This window comes from Homo sapiens, chromosome 20 (genome assembly GCF_000001405.40).
Source record: "Homo sapiens chromosome 20, GRCh38.p14 Primary Assembly".
Classification (NCBI taxonomy): domain Eukaryota; kingdom Metazoa; phylum Chordata; class Mammalia; order Primates; family Hominidae; genus Homo; species Homo sapiens.
Genome location: NC_000020.11, coordinates 47,609,054 through 47,629,132, shown reverse-complemented (window position 1 = coordinate 47,629,132; position 20,079 = coordinate 47,609,054). Strand labels below are relative to the sequence as shown.

At 38.7% G+C, this 20,079-nt stretch overlaps 1 protein-coding gene across 4 annotated transcripts in view; it reads right to left on the bottom strand.

The window, feature by feature from the left end:
• The window catches only part of NCOA3 (nuclear receptor coactivator 3), a 154,986-nt gene that overhangs the window by 27,740 nt on the left and 107,167 nt on the right, over nucleotides 1–20,079 (bottom strand). For all 4 annotated transcript variants that reach the window (NM_001174088.2, NM_181659.3, NM_001174087.2 and 1 more), the window contains exons 3-8: nucleotides 6,803–6,904; nucleotides 5,050–5,222; nucleotides 3,652–3,752; nucleotides 1,957–2,131; nucleotides 1,384–1,572; nucleotides 1,110–1,211 (exon numbers count right to left, since the gene is read on the bottom strand). In NM_001174088.2, the coding sequence (NP_001167559.1) occupies nucleotides 1,110–1,211; nucleotides 1,384–1,572; nucleotides 1,957–2,131; nucleotides 3,652–3,752; nucleotides 5,050–5,222; nucleotides 6,803–6,885 (823 nt within the window). In that variant the 5' untranslated portion in view covers nucleotides 6,886–6,904. The remainder of the gene's footprint in view (nucleotides 1–1,109; nucleotides 1,212–1,383; nucleotides 1,573–1,956; nucleotides 2,132–3,651; nucleotides 3,753–5,049; nucleotides 5,223–6,802; nucleotides 6,905–20,079) is intronic.

The following is a 20,079-nucleotide window of genomic DNA, read 5'->3' as shown; positions in this document are numbered from 1 at the left end:
ACACATACATATGTAATAGTGATAGCTATGTTTTATGTATACCTACTCCATTTTTATATCACTTGTTAAAAGTCCACATTGTAAAATTAGTGTTACACAAAGCAAAGAATACAGGCTAAGTCAGGCAGACTCAGCTATAAATTTTCTTATTAGCCATGATCTTGGACAATAACCCAATCTCTGTCACCAAGCTTCTGTTTCTTTATCTCTGAGATGGGGCATATATGACAAACCCTTGGCATCCCCATTTACACTTAGGTGACCATAAGAGTAACCCTGAAGGTAAATAAAAATAATATTGCCACAGTGTTTAATTTCATTAATGCATCTTATCAACCACGATGTCTTTAATTTTTTATTTCTATGATTAAAAAATGGCAGACCAAGATTGAAACTCAGGTTGACGTCAAGAATTACTCCCGGCCAAGCACAGTGGCTCACAACTGTAATCCCAGCATTTTGGGAGGCTGAGGCAGGCGACTCACTTGAGGTCAAGAGTTCGAGACCAGCCTGGACAACATGGTGAAACCCCATCTCTACTAAAAATACAAAAATTAGCCGGGCATGGTGGCACGTGCCTGTAGTCCAAACTGTTTGGGAGGCCATGGCAGGAAAATCACTTGAACCCAAGAAGTGGAGGTTGCAGTGAGCCGAGATCGCACCATTGCACTCCAGCCTGGGCAACAGAGCAAGACTCCGTCTCAACAAAAAAAAAAAAAAAAAGGAATTACTCCCAATAATTCTCATTAAATTACTTATAATTTTTTAAAACATGTTTCTTTATGACAAATGGGCTTGAAGTTAAAGAAATACTAAATTCTGACGCAAAATGCAATTTGGAGAGAAAACCAGGTGCCCCTAAATTTTTTTTTTAATTTATCTGGGGGATTTAAAATGCCAAACATACCCAATTCAAATGCCAAGAATTTTAGTGAAATTCTTTTAAGGTTGCATAAGCAACATGAAAAAAGATACACATAAAGCACTCATTACAGTAGGTATACATTTCTATGATAGTACAGATTAAAAATAGTAACATTTACAAAAATTTCCAAAATAAAAATGTACGTATACACAGAGAGAGAGAGAGACAAAAAAAGAGTTTTTACCTGAAAGATCATGTCTGGTAATAAAGCTCTCAGGGTTTGATGGAAATGTTCTTTCTCCTGTAGTAATGCGGCGTGCCACACAGATCATACAAGATTGCAAATCTACAATAAAAAATTCACCCTGGTAAGGATTATACTTAACTTTTGGATATATATGTTCAATAGGCAAGCAAAGACATGGAATTCAGTAAGAAGGGTTACAACACAAGTTTCAAAACTCCAAGTATGGCCACTATTTGTTTCATGAACATCACAAACATATAATAGCTCTTACCTTCCCCTTCCTCCATCATAGCTCGTGGCTGAGACAGGGCAAAGCACTGCATTGTTTCATATCTCTGGCGCATTTCAGGACTGGCGTTTATGTCTTCCAGAATATCATGTGGTGTTTTCATCAACATACGGCAATTAAATGTATGGCTTTTTTGTCTTTGGGTCTCATTTGTCCAGGAAACTCCATTAACTTTGGAAAACAAATTGAAATGACATTTTAAAAAGCTGGTAACTCATTCTATGACCATCATCAAGAATTCAAGCTGCATTTTCTCATTATGCATGTTTTCCATAGTTATATCTATACTAACATTTCAGGCTGGCAATATACAAAACATGTGAATAATTTCAACTTTAACAGAAATCTCACTGCATATTTTGTAACTATATGCCTCTTAAAATGTATACCAAATTTTTAATTCACTGACTCCATATGTGAAAATTCTGCTATTAAATCACATGCCTTTCTACCCTCATTTGATCGCTTGACTTCCTAAAAGATACATTCAATTTTCTAAGAAATGGTCAAGGAAAAAAATTTAACCTATTTAGAAAATACACATTAAAAGCCTACCTGTAGATTTTGGTAAATTCTTAAGAAAATCCTTTCTGTCTTCTTCATGTAAGATATTGTAAACACTTGTGTTAACCAGGTCCTCTTGCTTATATTGCAGGTATTGTGTGACATTTTCTGATACAAATACAATGTTTCCGTCTCGATTCACCACAAATAGGAAACCATCCAATGCCTAAAATAGGATATGTTAATACAGGCTGTTATGGACTGAATTGTATCCTCCTCCCTCTAATTCTTAAATTGAAACTCTAACCATCAGTGTAACTGTATTTGGAAACAAGACCTTCAAGGAGGTAATTAAAGATAAATGAGGTCATAACGGTGGGGACCCTAATCCAATATGACTGGTATCCTATAAGGGGAGAGAAAGACACCAGGAATGTGCACGCAGAGAAAAAGGCCATGGGAGAACACAGTGACAAGCCAAGGAGAAGCCAATCCTGCTGACACCTTGATCCTGGACTTCCAGCCACCAACACTGTAAGAAATAAATTTATTTGGTTTCACCTACCAAGTCTGTGGTATTTTGTTATGGTAGTATCAGCAAACAGCAACCACAGTAGTAAGTAGAATGTGTAAAAACTACTGCTGACTTAATTACTGCAAACAACTATAAGCCACCATTACTACTAACATTAGCACCATTACTACAGGCCTTACTGGGGGGAAAAAAAAAGAAGAATAATTGGGGGTGGGGGAGTGTGTACATAAATATGTTCAGCATGAAATCTGAATTAATGTCTAACCTAATTTTTAAAGAATTATATCTTTAAAGGAGCTTTTAAAAATGAGAAAAGCATCCTTAGCTCTTCCCATTTTTCCATTTGATGCCAAGTCAAGCTACAGAAACTGCTCTACTATTCCTTAATGAGAATTTACAAAGAGGAATTTCAAAACTGATCAACTAAAAGTAGTTGGAACAAACTACCTGAAACAAAAAGAAGTTGACAAGTTAACTTTATGAAGGGCTTCAGCCCCTAAACAAATACAAAGCACATGTTTAAGTCTTAACAATTCCTCAAGAATATAAAACCATAGCGTGCCATGTGATCAATCACGCAAAAATTCACCAAAAATGTCTGAGCCGAAACGTACAGTCATCATACCCCAGTATCTGTGTAAGGTTGGTTCCAAGACCTCCCAAAGATAGCAAAATCTGAGGATGCTCAAGTCTCCAATATAAAATGGTGTATTTGCCTATAGCCTATGCATATATTCCAATATACTTTAAATCATCTCTAGATTAGTTATAATACCTAATACAATGTAAGTGCTATATAGTCATCACACTGAGGTGTTTTTTATTGTTTTAACATTATTTTTTATTTCTTCCTCAGCCTCCAAATCTGTGGTGCAAAACCCATGGATATGAAGGGCCATTTGTACCCAAATATCTCTGTGAAATTACAGGCTACCTTTCCTTTCCTGCTTGCTTATATTTTTATGTTTGTATATGTGTGGTTCCTCAGTTTGCAACTATATTTTTACTAGGGGGGCAAGGCTTCCTGAATTATGTATATTGTAATTATAAGAGCATTTTACCATCATATTCAGAATACTGAACTGTCTCAAAGAAAAAAATGTTTTCTTTTTGTTCTCATTTCCTAACCAAAATTTCATCGATTTTTTATAACTTTATAATAAACCAAAGGGCAATACAGCCTACTGGACAGTTAAAATCTTTATACTTGCCTGAAGTAAAAGCGGTCCTAAGGAGTCTTTATCAATAACTCCCTGCCCTGTAGAAGATACATCGGCTTTTTGAACATCATCATCATTGGAAATAGTTTTTCCTGAAAAGACAGAAGGTGGTATAACGAATAACACACTATCAGTTATAGATTAAATCACCTTCGAATAGTCCCCAGAAGAGACATAAAGATACACATGCACATGCCCATACATACATACAAAACATTTCCTCATAAGAGAATGATGCTACAATATTATAACATCAAAACTAAACTTCATAGTTGCCCAGGAAGCCAGAAGATACCTAAATCATTTCACTACTAAATGTACTATCCCACAGCTTCCTGAAAAGGAACTACCAAATAACAGGCAATTGTCTGTTAACCGTCTCTAAAGAGCATAAGCTGGAGGCCCAGCGCGGTGGCTCACACCTGTAATCCCAGCACTCTGGGAGGCTGAGGCGGGTGGATCACCTGAGGTCAGGAGTTTGAGACCAGCCTGGCCAACATGGCAAAACCCCATCTCTACTAAAAATACAAAACTTAGCTGGGCGTGGTGGCAGGTGCCTGTAATCCTAGCTACTCGGGAGGCTGAGGCAGGAGAATCTCTTGAACCCAAGAGGTGGAGGTTGTGGTGAGCTGAGATCACACCACTGCACTCCAGCCCGAGAGACAAAGCGAGACACCATCTCAAAATAAATAAATACATAAATAACAAAAAGCACAGCTGGTCAACACATTTGTCTATTCCCATACTTGCTAGCCTCCATCAGTTGTAGTCTCTACCCAAACAAAGGAGCAAAAAGGCAAATATAGCAACAAGTTCCTTCTAAAACAGGGGTCCCCAACCCCCAGACCACAGACAAGTATCAGTCTGTGGCCTGTTAGGAATGGGGCTGCACAGCAGGAGGTCAGCAGTGGGCAAGTGAGCAAAGTTTCATCTGTATTAACAACAGCCCCTCCCCATCACTCACATTACCACCTGAGTTCTACATCCTGTCAGCTCAGAAGTAGCATTAGATTCTCACAGGTGTGCAAATCTTAATGTGAACTCCACATGCGAGGAATCTAGGTTGTGTGCTCCTTATGATTCTCTAATGCCTAATGATCTGTCACAGTTTCTCCCATTACCCCCAGATGGATCCATCTAGCTGCAGGAAAACAAGCTCAGGGCTCCTACTGATTTCTATATTATGGTGAGTTGTATAATTATTTCATTATATGTTACAATGTAACCATAATAGAAATAAAATGCACCACAAACGTAATGTGCTTGAATCATCCTGAAACCATCCCCTCTACCAGGTCCATGGAAAAACTGGCTTCCACAAAACCAGTCCCTGGTGCCAAAAAGGTTGGGAACCACCACTGTTCAAAAAGACATGAGTGTTTTTATTACCTTGCTCTTTTATTTGACGTATCTGTCTTACTGTTTCCTTTAAAATCGCACATTTATCTGGTTTGACATTGAAATTGTCAATATCACTAAGATTGGCAGATATCAGCTCAGCCAATTCTTCAATATATTTACTTTCCTGCTCCCGTCTCCGTTTTTCACCACTGCAGGTAAGACTAAGGGAAAAGGCGTAGAAAGGGGGGAAAGGAGACATAATATATATATCACAAAAGAGCTGTTAGCAGAATCAGCCCCTATACAACACTATTACATGATTACTTTTTTTTTTTTTTCCTCGAGACAGAGTTTTCGCTCTTGTTGCCCAGGCTGGAGTACAACGGTGCGACTTTGGCTCAATGCAACCTCCACCTCCAGGATTCAGGCAATTCTCCTGACTCAGCCTCCCCAGTAGCTGGGATTACAGGCATGCGCCACCACGCCTGGCTTATTTTTGCATTTTTAGTTGAGACGATGTTTCACCATGTTGGTCAGGCTGGTCTTGAACTCCTGACCTCAGGTAATCCACCCACCCTGGCCTCCCAGAGTGCTGGGATTACAGGCATGAGCCACCACACCCGGCCTATTATTTTCATATGTAAACAAACTAAACTCAGCCAATATAAACTATCAAAAATGCTGTCTTGGAGAAGTAGTACAACATAATAGAGATTCATGTAAACCTAAATTCAGTTCCATCTTTGTTAGCTAGGTGGCCTTGGGCAGAGTTAGCCTCAGTTACTTCATCTAGAAAATACGAATAAATCATCTTTACTTCTTAGAGATAATAAAACAACTAACAAATAAGAACAAAAACAGTGGTAGCTACTTATTAATGATGAAGTTTTATTCATTGTAGATTGATATTTTTCAACTAGCACATTAAACTTCAATTGACACTGACTTTGGCAAATACTTTAAAAGCTATAGAGTAGTGTTATATAGATTACATTATTTTGTTTCTAATTTTTAAGCTTCTCATTTCACTTGGTAAAAAAAAGGATGCAACCTCACAAATGACAAAATATCAACTTATAACCCATTCTTAAAAGATAGCAAAGATTCTTACTTATAACTGTCAGGCCTCTGAGACCAAGCCTGCACATATACATCCAGATGGTCTGAAGCAACTGAAGATCCACAAAAGAAGTGAAAATAGCCTTAACTGATGACATTCCACCATTGTGATGTTTCTGCCCCACCCTAACTTGATCAATGTACTTTGTAATCTCCCCCACCCTTAAGAAGGTTCTTTGTAATTCTCCCTACCCTTGAGAATGTACTTTGTGAGATCTAACCCCGCCCGCAAAACATTGCTCCTAACTCACTGCCTATCCCAAAACCTATAAGAACTAATGATAATCCCACCACCCTTTGCTGACTCTCTTTTTGGACTCAGCCTGCCTGTACCCAGGTGAAATAAACAGCCTTGTTGCTCACACAAAGTCTGGTGGTCTCTTCACACGGACGCACGTGACATAACCTTGGTCATCTATTCGTAACTCCTACCCCTCCTTCCATTCAGAAATTCTTATAGTACCGCGAATTGTTAATATTCTACCTTCTATATGAATCAGCAATAAAAAAAAAACTTCTATTACATCAAAAAGATGTCCATCTCATCAGTAACACTCTACTTACCACGAAGTGAAACCACCAAAAAATCTAACCAGAGAATGTAAATGGCAAGAAGTTAAAATGTTATCCTTAAACAAAGGCACAACAAGTGTGGTAAAGCACCAGGAAATAAGTCACCTACCCTTGTCCTGGAGTATCACATGGCAATTTGCGTTTTCGTGAATCACTGGCCAGTGGATCCAAGTTTTCTCCTAATCCACTCATCTTGAATATACATCAGCAACTAAGAGAGAATAATGAGAAATAAGATAAGTACATTAAAAAATATACATGACTCTATGAAGGTGTTATATGACTGAATGACTGCAACTTTTAATTCAGAACTACTTTCTCTAAACAGATAATTCTCAATATTCTTTTTCATAAATGACTATACTGAAGACAACCTCAGATTTCATATTCTAATATGAATTATGCAGAACGTATGTACTCCAAGACAGAAATGTTCCTCAAGTCCTACTAAAAATGTGTATCTTGCAGGGTGCGGTAGCTCATGCCTGTAGTCCCAGCACTTTGGGAGGTCGAGGCAGGTGGATCACCTGAGGTCAGGAGTTTGAGACCAGCCTGACCAACATGGTGAAATCCCGTCTGGCCAACATGGTGAAACCCCGTCTCTACTAAAAATAAAAAATTAGCCAGCCATGGTGGCAGGTGCCTGTAATCCTAGTTATTTGGGAGGCTGAGGCAGGAGAATCACTTGAACCGAGGGGTAGACGTTGCAGTGAGCCGAGATGGCACCACTGCACTCCAGCCTGGGTGACAAGAGCTAGACTCCGTCTCAAAAAAAAAAAAAAAAATTTGACTGATGGAAAAATAGTATGCTTTGGTTAAAATTTCATTGATGAAGAAGATAAATGTAGAGTACTTCTTGTTGAGAAAGATGATTTAAGACATCTACTAAGCCCTCATTTGCTAAGAATTTTATCTGTACTAAACTCTTGTTTAAAACAAGACGATCACTGTTGTAAAGAATTACATGTCAACCAAAGAAGTTCAACGATTCTAAACTAATTTTTATATATTAAAATGCATCTTGCATTCCAACTAAACTCTGAGACGTATGCTGGAGGACATAAATTTCCACTAGGTGGCAGAATGCTACCAGGAAGGAAGACAGATTTATAAAAATGAAAAAATTCACTCAAGATGCTGATCAAACTTCAAATGTGTAGCTTTAAAAAAAAAATCAAAAGCAAAAAAACAAAAAAAATAAAAATTTAAAAAATCACATGATCATAATATAAATCAGAAAATCTAGATTGCAACATTGTCTTTACAGATGCACTAAATATGTATTAAATTACCAAGAAAATTCATTCTATAACTTTGGTTGTAAAATGGAAAGGCTAAAAAGCTGAGATGATTTAAGTATTTGTTTTTTCCCCATGACAAGTTTAAATGAAGGACAGAAAAAGACTTAAAATAACCTTTATTAGTAGTGGCTCACTATTATTAGTAGTGGCACAGTCAGATCACACAATCTCAGGGGTATTGTATTTTCAAACGTGTCAATGTCACAAAAGACAAAGAAAGTCTGTAAACAGTCCAGATTTTAAAGGAAGCTATAAGAAAATGACAACTAAATGCAATATTTGATCCTAGACTGAATCCTGTGCTAGAGGGTAAGAAAATGCTATAAAGAATATTATTGGATCAACTGACAAAATTAGAATATGGACAATAGACATAAAAGTATGTTGTCAATATTAATACACTTAAGTTGATAAATGAACGACGGTTATTTAAGAGACCAATATTCTTAGTATAATATTTGGGGTAACAGGCTATTACATATGCAAATTATCCTCAGATGGTTAAGAAAAATTGCATATATAATGAGTGAGTGAATAAACCTGGGAATGGGGACAGGCAGAGCAAGGATGAGGAAGGGAGTTGACACTAGGTGAATCCTGACCCGGGGGGGAGATAAACGTAAAAACTCTTTGTACTATTTTCTTGCAACCTTGCTTTAAGTTTAAAATTATCCTCAAATAAAAGAGTTTTAAACTTAAAGGTATGTTCGGTTTTGATTTTCCAATTTTCATATTTAAAAAGAGTAGCTCAAGTAATCCCAGTGCTTTGGGAGGCTCAGGCAGTTTGAGTTTGAGGCACTTGAGTTTGAGACCAATCTGTGCAACACAGTAACACCCTGTCTCTACAAAATTTTTTTAAAAATAAGCCAGGCATCATGGTGCACACCTATAGCATTAACTACTTAGGAATAAAACAGGAAGACTGCTTGTTTGAGGAGTTTGAGGCTGCAGTGAGTTATGATCACGCCAATGCACTCCAGACTGGGTGACCGAGTGAGACTCTGTCTCTTAAAAACAATAATAATAATAAATTGAATAATTAAAGAGCCAGGTGCAGTGGCTCACGCCTGTAATCCCACCACTTTGGGAGGCCGAGGCGGGTGAATCACAAGGTCAGGAGATCGAGACCAGCCTGGCCAATATGGTGAAACCCTGTCTCTACTAAAAATACAAAAATTAGCTGGGCGTGGTGGCAGGCGCCTGTAGTCCCAGCTACTTGGGAGGCTGAGGCAGGAGAATCGCATGAACCCGGAAGGCGGAGGTTGCAGTGAGCTGAGATCCCGCCACTGCACTCCAGGCCTGGGTAACAGAGTGTGACTCCATCTCAAAAAATAAAAATAAAAAGAATAGTGATTCCATTCCTTAAGTACAAAAATAGAATAATTCTTGTTATGTCTCTATAATTGGTTTTATATTTGTTTCATTCAAAGGTGATTTTTAAATTGAATGGCAAACTATCCATTGAGTAATAACTTTTTTTTTTTTTTTTTTTTAAAGACAGGGTCTTACTGTGTCACCCAGGCTGAAGTGCAGTGGCACAATCTCAGCTCACTGTAACCTCGGCTTCCCAGGCTCAAGCAATCCTCCTGCCTCAGTATCCCAAGTAGCTGGGACAACAGGTGAGCACCACCACACCCAGCTAATTTTTGTATTTTTTGGAGAGACAGGGTCTCACTATGTTGCCCAGGCTGGTCTTGAACTCCTGGGTTCAAGTTATCCGCCTGCCTCAGCCTCCCAAAGTGCTGGGATTACAGGCATGACCCACCACACCCAGCCTACATTTCTTTATTTTAAATATGTAATTTATTCCACATTCTAGATATTATTTCCTTACTTTGGCTTTTGTTTATAAGCTGAATCCCTGAAACAAATGGAGAAACTATTCCATGGATAACAGCACTTCTTTAATTTGAAAGATAAAATTTTGCCTATATTCTCAATATTATTTCCTTTGTTATTAAATATAAGTTGAATACTCAGTAAGGAGTAAGGGGCCTACCATGTAATAGGTGGTCAATATATGTCTTGAATAAATATTGAATAAATATAAAAGCAACATTCAACCTACTAAATCATAGTTTAGAAATTTCCTTTATTCTGATCTATAACAATCATTCAATGCAATCCTACTGCATTAAACTTTTTAAATGTTTACTTCTACAGTTGATATAGTGTTACAATAAATTCTGACAGCATAAATTAAATCAATAGAAAAACTAAGTCATGACAATCTCTTAATATGCAAAAAAATTAATAAGCACAAATATCAGTTTAAACCAGAAATGCAGATCATTTGTGTTAAGCCAATGTTTATGTGCATATAATGAAACCTAAATATGTCGAGCTATGTCCATAGACACATGCAGCTTTTTCTCTTGATCTCACAAAACAAGCTACACTGTACACATAAGCCTGTGCAATCTTCCTGCTACCAAACTTACTCCTTCAGAGTCCAACCTAATTATCCAAAAAGGTACTAAGGGAAGGCCGGGTGTGGTGCCTCATGCATGTAATCCCAGCACTTTGGGAGGCCAAGATGGGCGAATCACCTGAGGTCGGGAGTTCGAGACCAGCCTGACCAACATGGAGAAACTCCATCTCTACTAAAAATACAAAATTAGCCAAACGTGGTGGTGCATGTCTGTAATTCCAGCTACTCAGGAGGCTGAGACAGGAGAATTGCTTGAACCTGGGAGATGGAGGTTGCAGTAAGCCAAGATTGGGCCATTGGCACTCCAGCCTAGGCAGCAAGAGTGAATTCTGTCTATAAAAAAAAAAAAAAAAAAAAAACTAAGGGAAAATAATAACTTAAAATCATGAAAAAGGTGTTTACCCGAACATAAAGGTATAATTGTTTAAGATATAAAATATTTCTATCTTATTTTTTGTTTTGTTTTGCTTTTGAGACAAGAGTCTCACTCTGTCACCCAGGCTGGAGTGCAGTGGCATGATCTCAGTTCACTGCAACCTCCGCCTCCCGGGTTCAAATGATTCTCGTCTCAGCCTCCCGAGTAGCTGAGATTATAGGTGTGTGCCACCACGCCTGGCTAATTTTTGTATTTTCAATAGAGACAGGGTTTCACCATGATGGCCAGGCTGGTCTCGAACTCCTGACCTCAACTGATCTGCCCACGTCAGCCTCCCAAAGCGCTGCAATCACAGGCATGAGCCACCATGTCCAGTCTCTATCTTGGGTTTTTTAGGAACAGGTTGGACAGATTTGTAGTTCTTAATTAGACATGGACAAAACTTAGGTACATTTACTGTACAACTGTATAAGATACCACAATGTCTAAGAGTAAATGACAAATTGTTTTATAACAAAAAGCAAAGTAGAGCAAACATCTCCTGAATTTCATTAAACTAAAGAAAATGTTCAACATGAGAAATAAAAAAGCATTTCTGGTCCCCAAAATAATAATTTCAATATATACAATAATTCCTGAGCACAAATGACTATGACTAACCCTTCAGGTACAGTTTTCTATTTGGTATTAATCTTAGCTATAAACAAAAAATCAAAAATGGCATTTGTTTTAGTTGCCACGCCTGTTATCTCCTTCTCACTGGGAGGATATGCTATTTTGGTAGATTAAGATATAAAAGGTAAATGCCTAGCACAGACACAATAGATCTAGATCACTTTCAGTCAACAGTCAAGAATGAAGATGAGAGAGGGGAATAAGGCAGGTACCAAGACCATGAAGTTCTTAACCGGTAAGAAACATGGAACAGTAACTACCTGAGACTAGCTTACATTTTTACATCTTAAATTACAACCCATCTAGTTTGGAGAATATATGTAGTTGATAAAAGCCATCTTCAAAGGGCAAATAATATAGCACAACAGTCTCACACTAAGTTTGATTGTAAGAACAGTCTAGGCCAGGCGCGGTGGCTCACGCCTGTAATCCCAGCACTTTGGGAGGCCGAGGCGGGTGGATCACCTGAGGTCAGGAGTTCAAGACCAGCCTGGCCAACATGGTGAAACCCTATCTCTACTAAAAATACAAAAATTAGCTGGGCATGGTGGCATGCACATGTAGTCCCAGCTACTCAGGAAGCTGAGGCAGGAGAAAAGCTTAAACCCGAGAGGCAGAAGTTGCCAGTGAGCCAAGACCGCGCCACTGCACTCCAGCCTGGATGACAGAGTGAGACTCCGTCTAAAAAAGAAAAAAAAGAACAGTCTATTAACATAGAGTCCCTTCTTAATTCTGACTCCCTACAATTAGATATTATCACTTATAGTTGAATAGAAAAGAAATTAGGACCTATACTTGCTACCAAGTAATCTGTCCTCCTGAAGTTACATCATACATCCAATTGTGAGATGCATCCATATTTTGAAGTTTCCACTGCACCTCTAATGCACTTCCAAGAAGATACACAATCCAGTCTCAGAAGCCTTTTCAAGCCCCTGGCACCAAAGTACAGAAAAGAACTGGAAGGAAGAACTTCTCATTTTATCAGAATTCAAAGGCTAAAACCAAGTCAATCTTTCAATATAAACTCTATCATCCAGATCCATGAGCCATTTTTACAATTATTTTCCTTATCTAAAATGTTTCCACTAAAAAAAGTTGTATGCTACACTACTTAAATGTATTAAATATGGCAATGCACACTTTAAGACTGCATTTTTAAAAGGCTGGGCGGGGTGGCTCACGCCTGTAATCCTAGCACTTTGGGAGGCCGAGGTGGGCGGATCACCTGAGGTCAGGAGTTCGAGACCAGCCTGACCAACATGGTGAAACCCCATCTCTACTAAAAGTACAAAATTAGCCGGGCGTGGTGACACATGCCTGTAATCCCAGCTACTTGGGGGACTGAGGCAGGAGGATTGCTTGAACCCAGGAGGTGGAGGTTGCAGTGAGCCGGGATTGTGCCATTGTACTCCAGCCTGGGCAACAAGAATGAAACTCCGTCCAAAAAAAAAAACCTGCATTTAAGCAATATATTCCATGCAATTACTTTTTTTTGGCGGGGCGGGGGGTGGGGGCGGGGGGCGGGTGGAGTGCAGTGGTGCAATCTCGGCTCACTGCAACCTCCACCTCCCAGATTCAAGCAATTCTCCTGCCTCAGCCTCCTGAGTAGCTGGGACTACAGGCGCCTGCCACCACCCTGGCCTAGTTTTTCTATTTTTAGTAGAGATGGGGTTTCACCATATTGGTCAGGCTGGTCTCAAACACCTGACCTCAAGTGATCCACCCGCCTCAGCCTCCCAAAGAGCTGGAATTACAGGCGTGAGCCACCACGTCTCGTCACAATTACTTTAATGTAGAATAGTAACAATGAGAATACCTTTCAATGCTATCAAAATCTAACGCTATTTCTATATTATATGGAAAAGTCCAAAGTATATCCATGATAAGATTTAAAATGAACAAGTATCTTACAACAACTGGATAGAATGTTTCCTATAAATACTATAGGCCTTTCTATACGTAACATTCAAGCTATGGAACATGTTGAAGCTTAGACATCAACAGAATATATAATAAATTGTTAGAAAATGAACTTTCATGGAATAACTAACTAATTAAAGCTGAAAAGCAGCAAAGAATTATACCTGCTAGCTCAAAAACCATGAAAATTTTGGTATATGGCTTAGCAGCACTAATCAGCTTTCCTTTTGGTTATTTGGGATTAAGACAGGAGGGAAAAAGTTTGATTATACACAGCAAATTAGCTAAATGGACAAGGATACAGGAACTACGCCCTGTCCAAAAGGAAAAGATATCAATCAACACTACCAGTGTTCATTAGGCAAGCAAGAAGTTATTTTGAGGGACCTAAAAAAAGCTATAGTGTGCCAAAATAGCAGATGGGTTATCCAGTAAATCTAAATTGACATAGAAACCAACTAAAATATTTTACTTTTCCTAAATTAATAAGGGAGAAATAAGGAGATAATTTTGTGGTAGTACAATACTAGACATCTCATATATACTGTAATTTATTTACCATGACCCTCCAGAGTATGTATTACTATAATAGTCCCATTTTACAGATAAGGAAATGGCTAACTTTCCACTAGAGCACACACAGATTCTGGATGGCAGAGCTGGAACTACAATATTTTTTCAGACTTCATAACCAACAAAATATGTATCAAATGTTTCTTGGGCATTTTATTCCCCACCACCACCAAAACAAGCCATTTGTACTACTGAATCACACTATAGCCAACCAGTTAGCCAGAAAATTTCTCAGCTTATCAGTAAGAACACTGAGAGGTTATGACAGCCATAGTTTAGGGGCATGCAGTATTAGGGACAGAGGCAAGGAGTTGCTCAAGCTCAGCAGATACTAATGCTCCCCTCAAGTACCTTACCTAACCATTACCCACCGATGTCACTAAACTGCCCTTCGTGGTGGTCTAATATTACCCATAACCCTTACTTCCACTTGAGATGGTCAATGGCTCACACAGCAAAAGGAAAATTTGAGATCGACATATACAAACTATACCTTAAAATGGTCAGTCAAGTATTGTTATTCTTTGGTTTGCTATCATTAAATGGTGGAGCCACTTGACTATCCCAGCAGCAATTTAGTTTATCTGTCAGGCTTGTTTCCCTAACTTATACAAGGTATGATTAAATACACTAATTAGAGAGAGGTTTGGTGTATTTCTTGAGAATCACAGTAACTTATGGAAATTTTTTCAAAGAGCTATGGATCTGAACTGGTTTATTAAAAACTGCTTCAAGCACTATGCAAAAGCAGAGACTGCTCAAGTCAATCAGAAAAAACAAGTTCTTGGGAAGAATGAGACAGTCATACATAAAAGTTCTACCCAAAACTGAAATTCCAAATTCTCAAATTCCTAATCAGACAACTTAGAAAATAACCACTACTAGTTAACACAAGGGCTTAATCTTACAAGGTTTTTTTCTCTACCCTAAAAATATCAAAAAGTTTCTTAATCTTCTTTCTTTCAATCCGTCATTCATACCCTTACTAATAAAATAAGAGGAGCTCCAAGAGAACTGGTACCACGGAGAAAGGACTGAAGACAAATATAACGTGTGTAAAGGACAGGGGAAGGCAGGGAAGAGCTTTTATAACGTGGAACTGTTATAAAAGCTTCCTCCTCAAGTGGATGACTCTTCCAGTTAGTATCTCCTCCTACCTTTGTTTCTTTCAATGCTGGTAAGGAAGTTAAGAGCTGTGAGGAGATAAGTAGGAGGGGAAAGAAAAGAAAATTTTTTTTAATTTTTTTTTTTTTTTAAGACAGAGTCTTGCTCTGTCGCCCAGGCTAGAGTGCAGTAGCGCAATCTCAGTGCAACCTCCGCCTCCCAGGTTCAAGCGATTCTCCTGCCTCAGCCTCCCGAGTAGCTGGGATTACAGGCACCCACCACCACGCCCAGCTAATTTTTATATTTTTAGTAGAGACGGGGTTTCACCATCTTGGAAAGGCTGGTCTTGAACTCCTGACCTCATGATCCACCGGCCTCAGCCTCCCAAAGTGCTGGGATTACAGGCGTGAGCCGCCGCGCCTGGCCTACTTATTTATTTTTCTTTTGCTTCCTCATCCTCTGTCAGAGAGGGAAATTTTTTATATCCTTTTGTTTTGTGGCTGATAATTTGCTATTATGTTTTGTAGGATAAAGTATAACACAATCCTTTTTTTTTTTTTCAATTTAATTCCATTTCAGCTCAAACGTTTTGCATGCCCAGAATCATTTTAGCCCCAGAAAACAGGGATAAATGTCACTACCAATTACTAGAACTCTCAGGCTAGCAGAACAGGAAAACAGAAAAACAATTAAATTTGGTAAGTGTTAAAAAAAAAAAAAAAGAAGGAATCGTTTGAACACAATGAATAGCAAAGCTAGGAGCCTACAGTTTTTAGAAACAAAACATACACATGGTATCTACAAGAAACTACCTTGGTGGAGATGTATACAAGAAAACAGTACAACTTCAGTTCTTGGTAATTTCTTCTCCACTATCTTTGCTTTATAATGCCAGCATATTGAGTGAAGGGCTAGCAAGAAACAATAAAGTAAAACATCCTATTTTTAATATATAAATTGAACAGAAAAGCATCTGAATGTAAATTATTTTATGCGCAAGGTTCCATTCTCTCTTCCTTCTTGCACATTTATGTTCCAGTTTAAACCTGATGAAGTTGAATTTAAACATAAACTCCCCAGAGACTAGAGTGCTAGAACTGGGCATACCAATTAGCCAACTCAGGTGTTAGTTGCAACTGGAAACTTGCTGCCAAGAGACTTCTCAACCTCTACATGAGCAACAGAGTTGAAGTTCACAGATAATACACTGTACAGAGGGAGTTAAGGGAGCCAATTCCATCCATATCCAAATCAAGTTACCCTCTCCTGACAGCATACTAACTAGCCGGGTAACTCTTTTGTTTTAAAGGTTACATTGACTTCTACAATTTAATACACTGAATCTATCTCATATATAAGAACAGACTTAAGTCTGAGCTTCATAAACCTGAATTTGGCTTCAGTTTAAACAACCTGTTACCAGTCATACTTCTTCCTCATCAATCACCACCAGCAACCCCAAAATGATCTTTATACTAAAAGTTTTTAATAAAGGTAACTGAAACATTTCCTTTATTTTTAACCTTAAGTCACTAATTTTTTTTTAATCTTTCCCACATCGCTTTTCCATCTAGAATATTCCTGCCCTTCAAGATTAATTTGTCACCTCTGGTAAAACCATCCCCGACTCTCCCAATTAGACAAAAGTTTTCCCTTCTTTATCCTAAGCATTTTCCATATTTTTACTATAACATTTTACATATTACACTATTTCTGTCTCTGCTTCCTACCTTGTAAGCTCTAAACCATTGTGTAAACTTGTATGTAACTCTATTTTTTACAAATTTTTTTTTTAACTACCACCATTCCTCTTCTCTTTTCAAACTCCAGTTCTCCTTTGCTTTCCCATCAGCTGTACTTTTGACCAACTCCACATCTTCTTAAAATACAGAGAAGGTTCTCCTTTTACAGAGGTAAAAAGAAATAATTTGGCTGGGTGTGGTGGCTCACACTTGTAATCTCAACACTTTGGGAGGCCAAGATGAGAGGACAGCTTGAACCCGGGACTTCAAGACCAGCCTGGGCAAAGTGGCAAAACGCCGTCTCTACAAAAAATACAAAACACTTAGCCAAGCGTGGTGACGCACACCTGTAGTCGCAGCTACTCGGGAGGCTGAGGTGGGGGTATCACCTGAGCCCAGGAGGCAGAGGTTACAGTGAGCTAAGGTTCGCGCCACTGCACTCCAGCCTGGGTGAAGGGAGTGAGACCCTGGTCTGGAGGGGCAGAAGGAGTGGGGCTTTTTTATTTTGTTTTGTTTTGTTTTTGAGATGGAGTCTCGCTCTGTCACCCAGGCTGGAGTGCAGTGGCGCAATCTCGGCTTACTAAAACTTCCGCCTCCCAGATTCAAGCGATTCTCCTGCCTCAGCCTCCCAAGTAGCCGGGATTACAGGCAGCTGCCACCATACCCACCTCATTTCTGTATTATTAGTAGAGTCGGGGTTTCGCCATGTTGGCCAGGCTGGTCTCGAACTCCTGACCTCAGGTGACCAACCTACCCCAGCCTCCCAAAGTCCTGGGATTACAGGCATGAGCCCGGCCGAGGAGGAGATTTTTTAAACCCCAGTATTGTGTACCATTTTTTACCTCTGGGGTTTGTAGTTTAATTTTCCTTTGACAGACATAAGTATCTCTACATCAAAAGTAGTACTTATACCTAAGTTTGTCCCTGTGGCATATAATGAAAATAAAAACAGCAGAGGAAGAAAGAGATAAATAAAAACCAAGGGTTTTAGCCATGCTAAGGTAAGTGAGAAAGAACTGGATAAAGAAGAGTGGTGAGGAGGGACAGTGGGTATGTGCACAGAGCAGAAATGAAATCTGATATAAATTAAATTAATAAGCAATAAAGATGTAAAGGAGAGATGATCACAGCATATGCCCCATTCTCTTCTAATCTATTCTTTCCATCTACCTCACAGAGGAAAAGACAGTATTGAGAAGTAAATGTTAAAGCTTAAGAGATGACAACATTAGCCACCTGGTAACCAAACAGCTGAGAGCAGCAAGGATGGTACATAAAGTGTACCATGGTACACTAAGTAAACAATGAAGAGGGGGAATGGTAACCATGGTCAAATGCAAGACAGATAAATATTCCTAAACCAGAGTGCCTGTAGAGTAAAAAACAAAATAACAAACTTCCCACTATAGTACTAAAGTTAGCCCTGTCCAGCAATATCAAAAATAGAGGCTACAATGAGTTTGTTCACCTGCAACACTGATGTTACAAAAATTAAGACTGTAGAAATAAATGTAAAGCTAATAAAAGACTTTTGGGTTGATTTTTCAAAGAAAAGATATTGAAGGTAGAACAGAGAGATGTCCTTCTTATAAAGCAAAGAGGTTGGAGCAGATCTGTAACTCTAGCAACACGACACGGCAAGTCTGACTCACAAGACTTCCTGAATAGGTCATCATCTGTACTGCTGCTTAGTCTGTGGCTCAGTCCTTTTTTTCCTGACCTCACAGCTTATTACTCTTCAGTAATCATTAAATAACTTTAAATTCAAAAGAATCCTTTTTTAAAAATGTTTCCGGGCCAGTTTCAGTAGCTCACACCTGTAATCCCAACGCTTTGGGAGGCTGGGGCAAGAGGATTGCTTGAGCCCAGCAGTTTGAGACCAGCCTGGGCAACATAGTGAGATTCTGTCTCTGCAAAAAACACAAAAATTAGCTGGGCATGGCAGCATGTGCCTGTGGTCCCAGCTATTTAGGAAGCTCAGGTAAGAGGATCACTTGAGCCCAGGAGGTCAAGTCTGCAGTGAACCATGATCACCGCACTCTGGCCTGGGGGACAGAGCAAGATCCCGTCTCAAAACAGTAACAATAATAATAGTTTCCATATCCCTAGAAGTTATGTGTCTGATAATAGAATTTGTCTTTTCAAATAAATCTCTAAAGCCATTATTCATCTGATGACAACAATACAAATAATGAATAAGAAAATATATATCAAAAAGTTAAAAAATAAAAAAAGCTTTCAACATTATTTGCTTTCTGGAGGGTGGGGTAGCACTGGTAAAAAGGTTAAAAGGTATCAGAACTGAAAACTCAATAAAACCCTTGACCCTCTCCATTCCTCTCCAAAAAATAGCTACCGTCTTATGTGGAGCTAAACATTTATACCATTAGGTCAAGATTGCTTCAGGGAAGAAATGTGCAGTAAGCAAAAATATAAAATACTGCAAAGAGGAGGAGAAGTACATCATTCAATTTAAAATACAACATTAAAAAATAAAAATAAAAAATAAAATACAACATAGCTTGGTTTTTTCTTTGTTGCTATTCAAATGTTAGTTTCATGATCCATAACTTTTTTTTTTTTTTTGAGACGGAGTCTCGCCCTGTCACCCGGGCTGGAGTGCAGTGGTGCAATCTCGGCTCACCACAATCTCTGCCTCCCGAGTTCAAGGAATTCCCCTGCCTCGGCCTCCTGAGTAGCTGGGACTACAGGTGTGCACCACCACAACCAGCTAATTTTTTTGTATTTTAGTAGAGATGGGGTTTCACCATGTTGGCCAGGATGGTCTCAAACTCCTGACCTCGTGACATGATCCATAACTTTAAAGAACTTTTTTTCTGTACTTCACAAAACCTGCCTATCCATGTCTAGTAAATGAAGCTGGGGGCACCTCATTATTATTAGAGAATATCTGAGGCAAGAAAATTTTATTACGAACTTCTGTAAAATCATCCATACACCTAAACTGGTTAAAACCAAAACCTACTTCACCAAGTATCTTAAGAGTGGTCACTGTTCAACATATCGGGTGTCATCCACATAGAAAAAGGAAATAGTATCCCCTATGCTAAGTGCTTGGGGTAGATGAATTGTTGATCAAAACAGGAATTTTTTTGCCTTCAAGGAGCTGATGACTCGGTGTGAGGAATTAACAAACTAGTAAGTAGATCATCAGAAATTGTATTATATGCTACAAAACGTCTTTATTTAAAATTAATGGCCGATTTGTGATTCAGAAACAGAAACAACTGAGTACCAGAC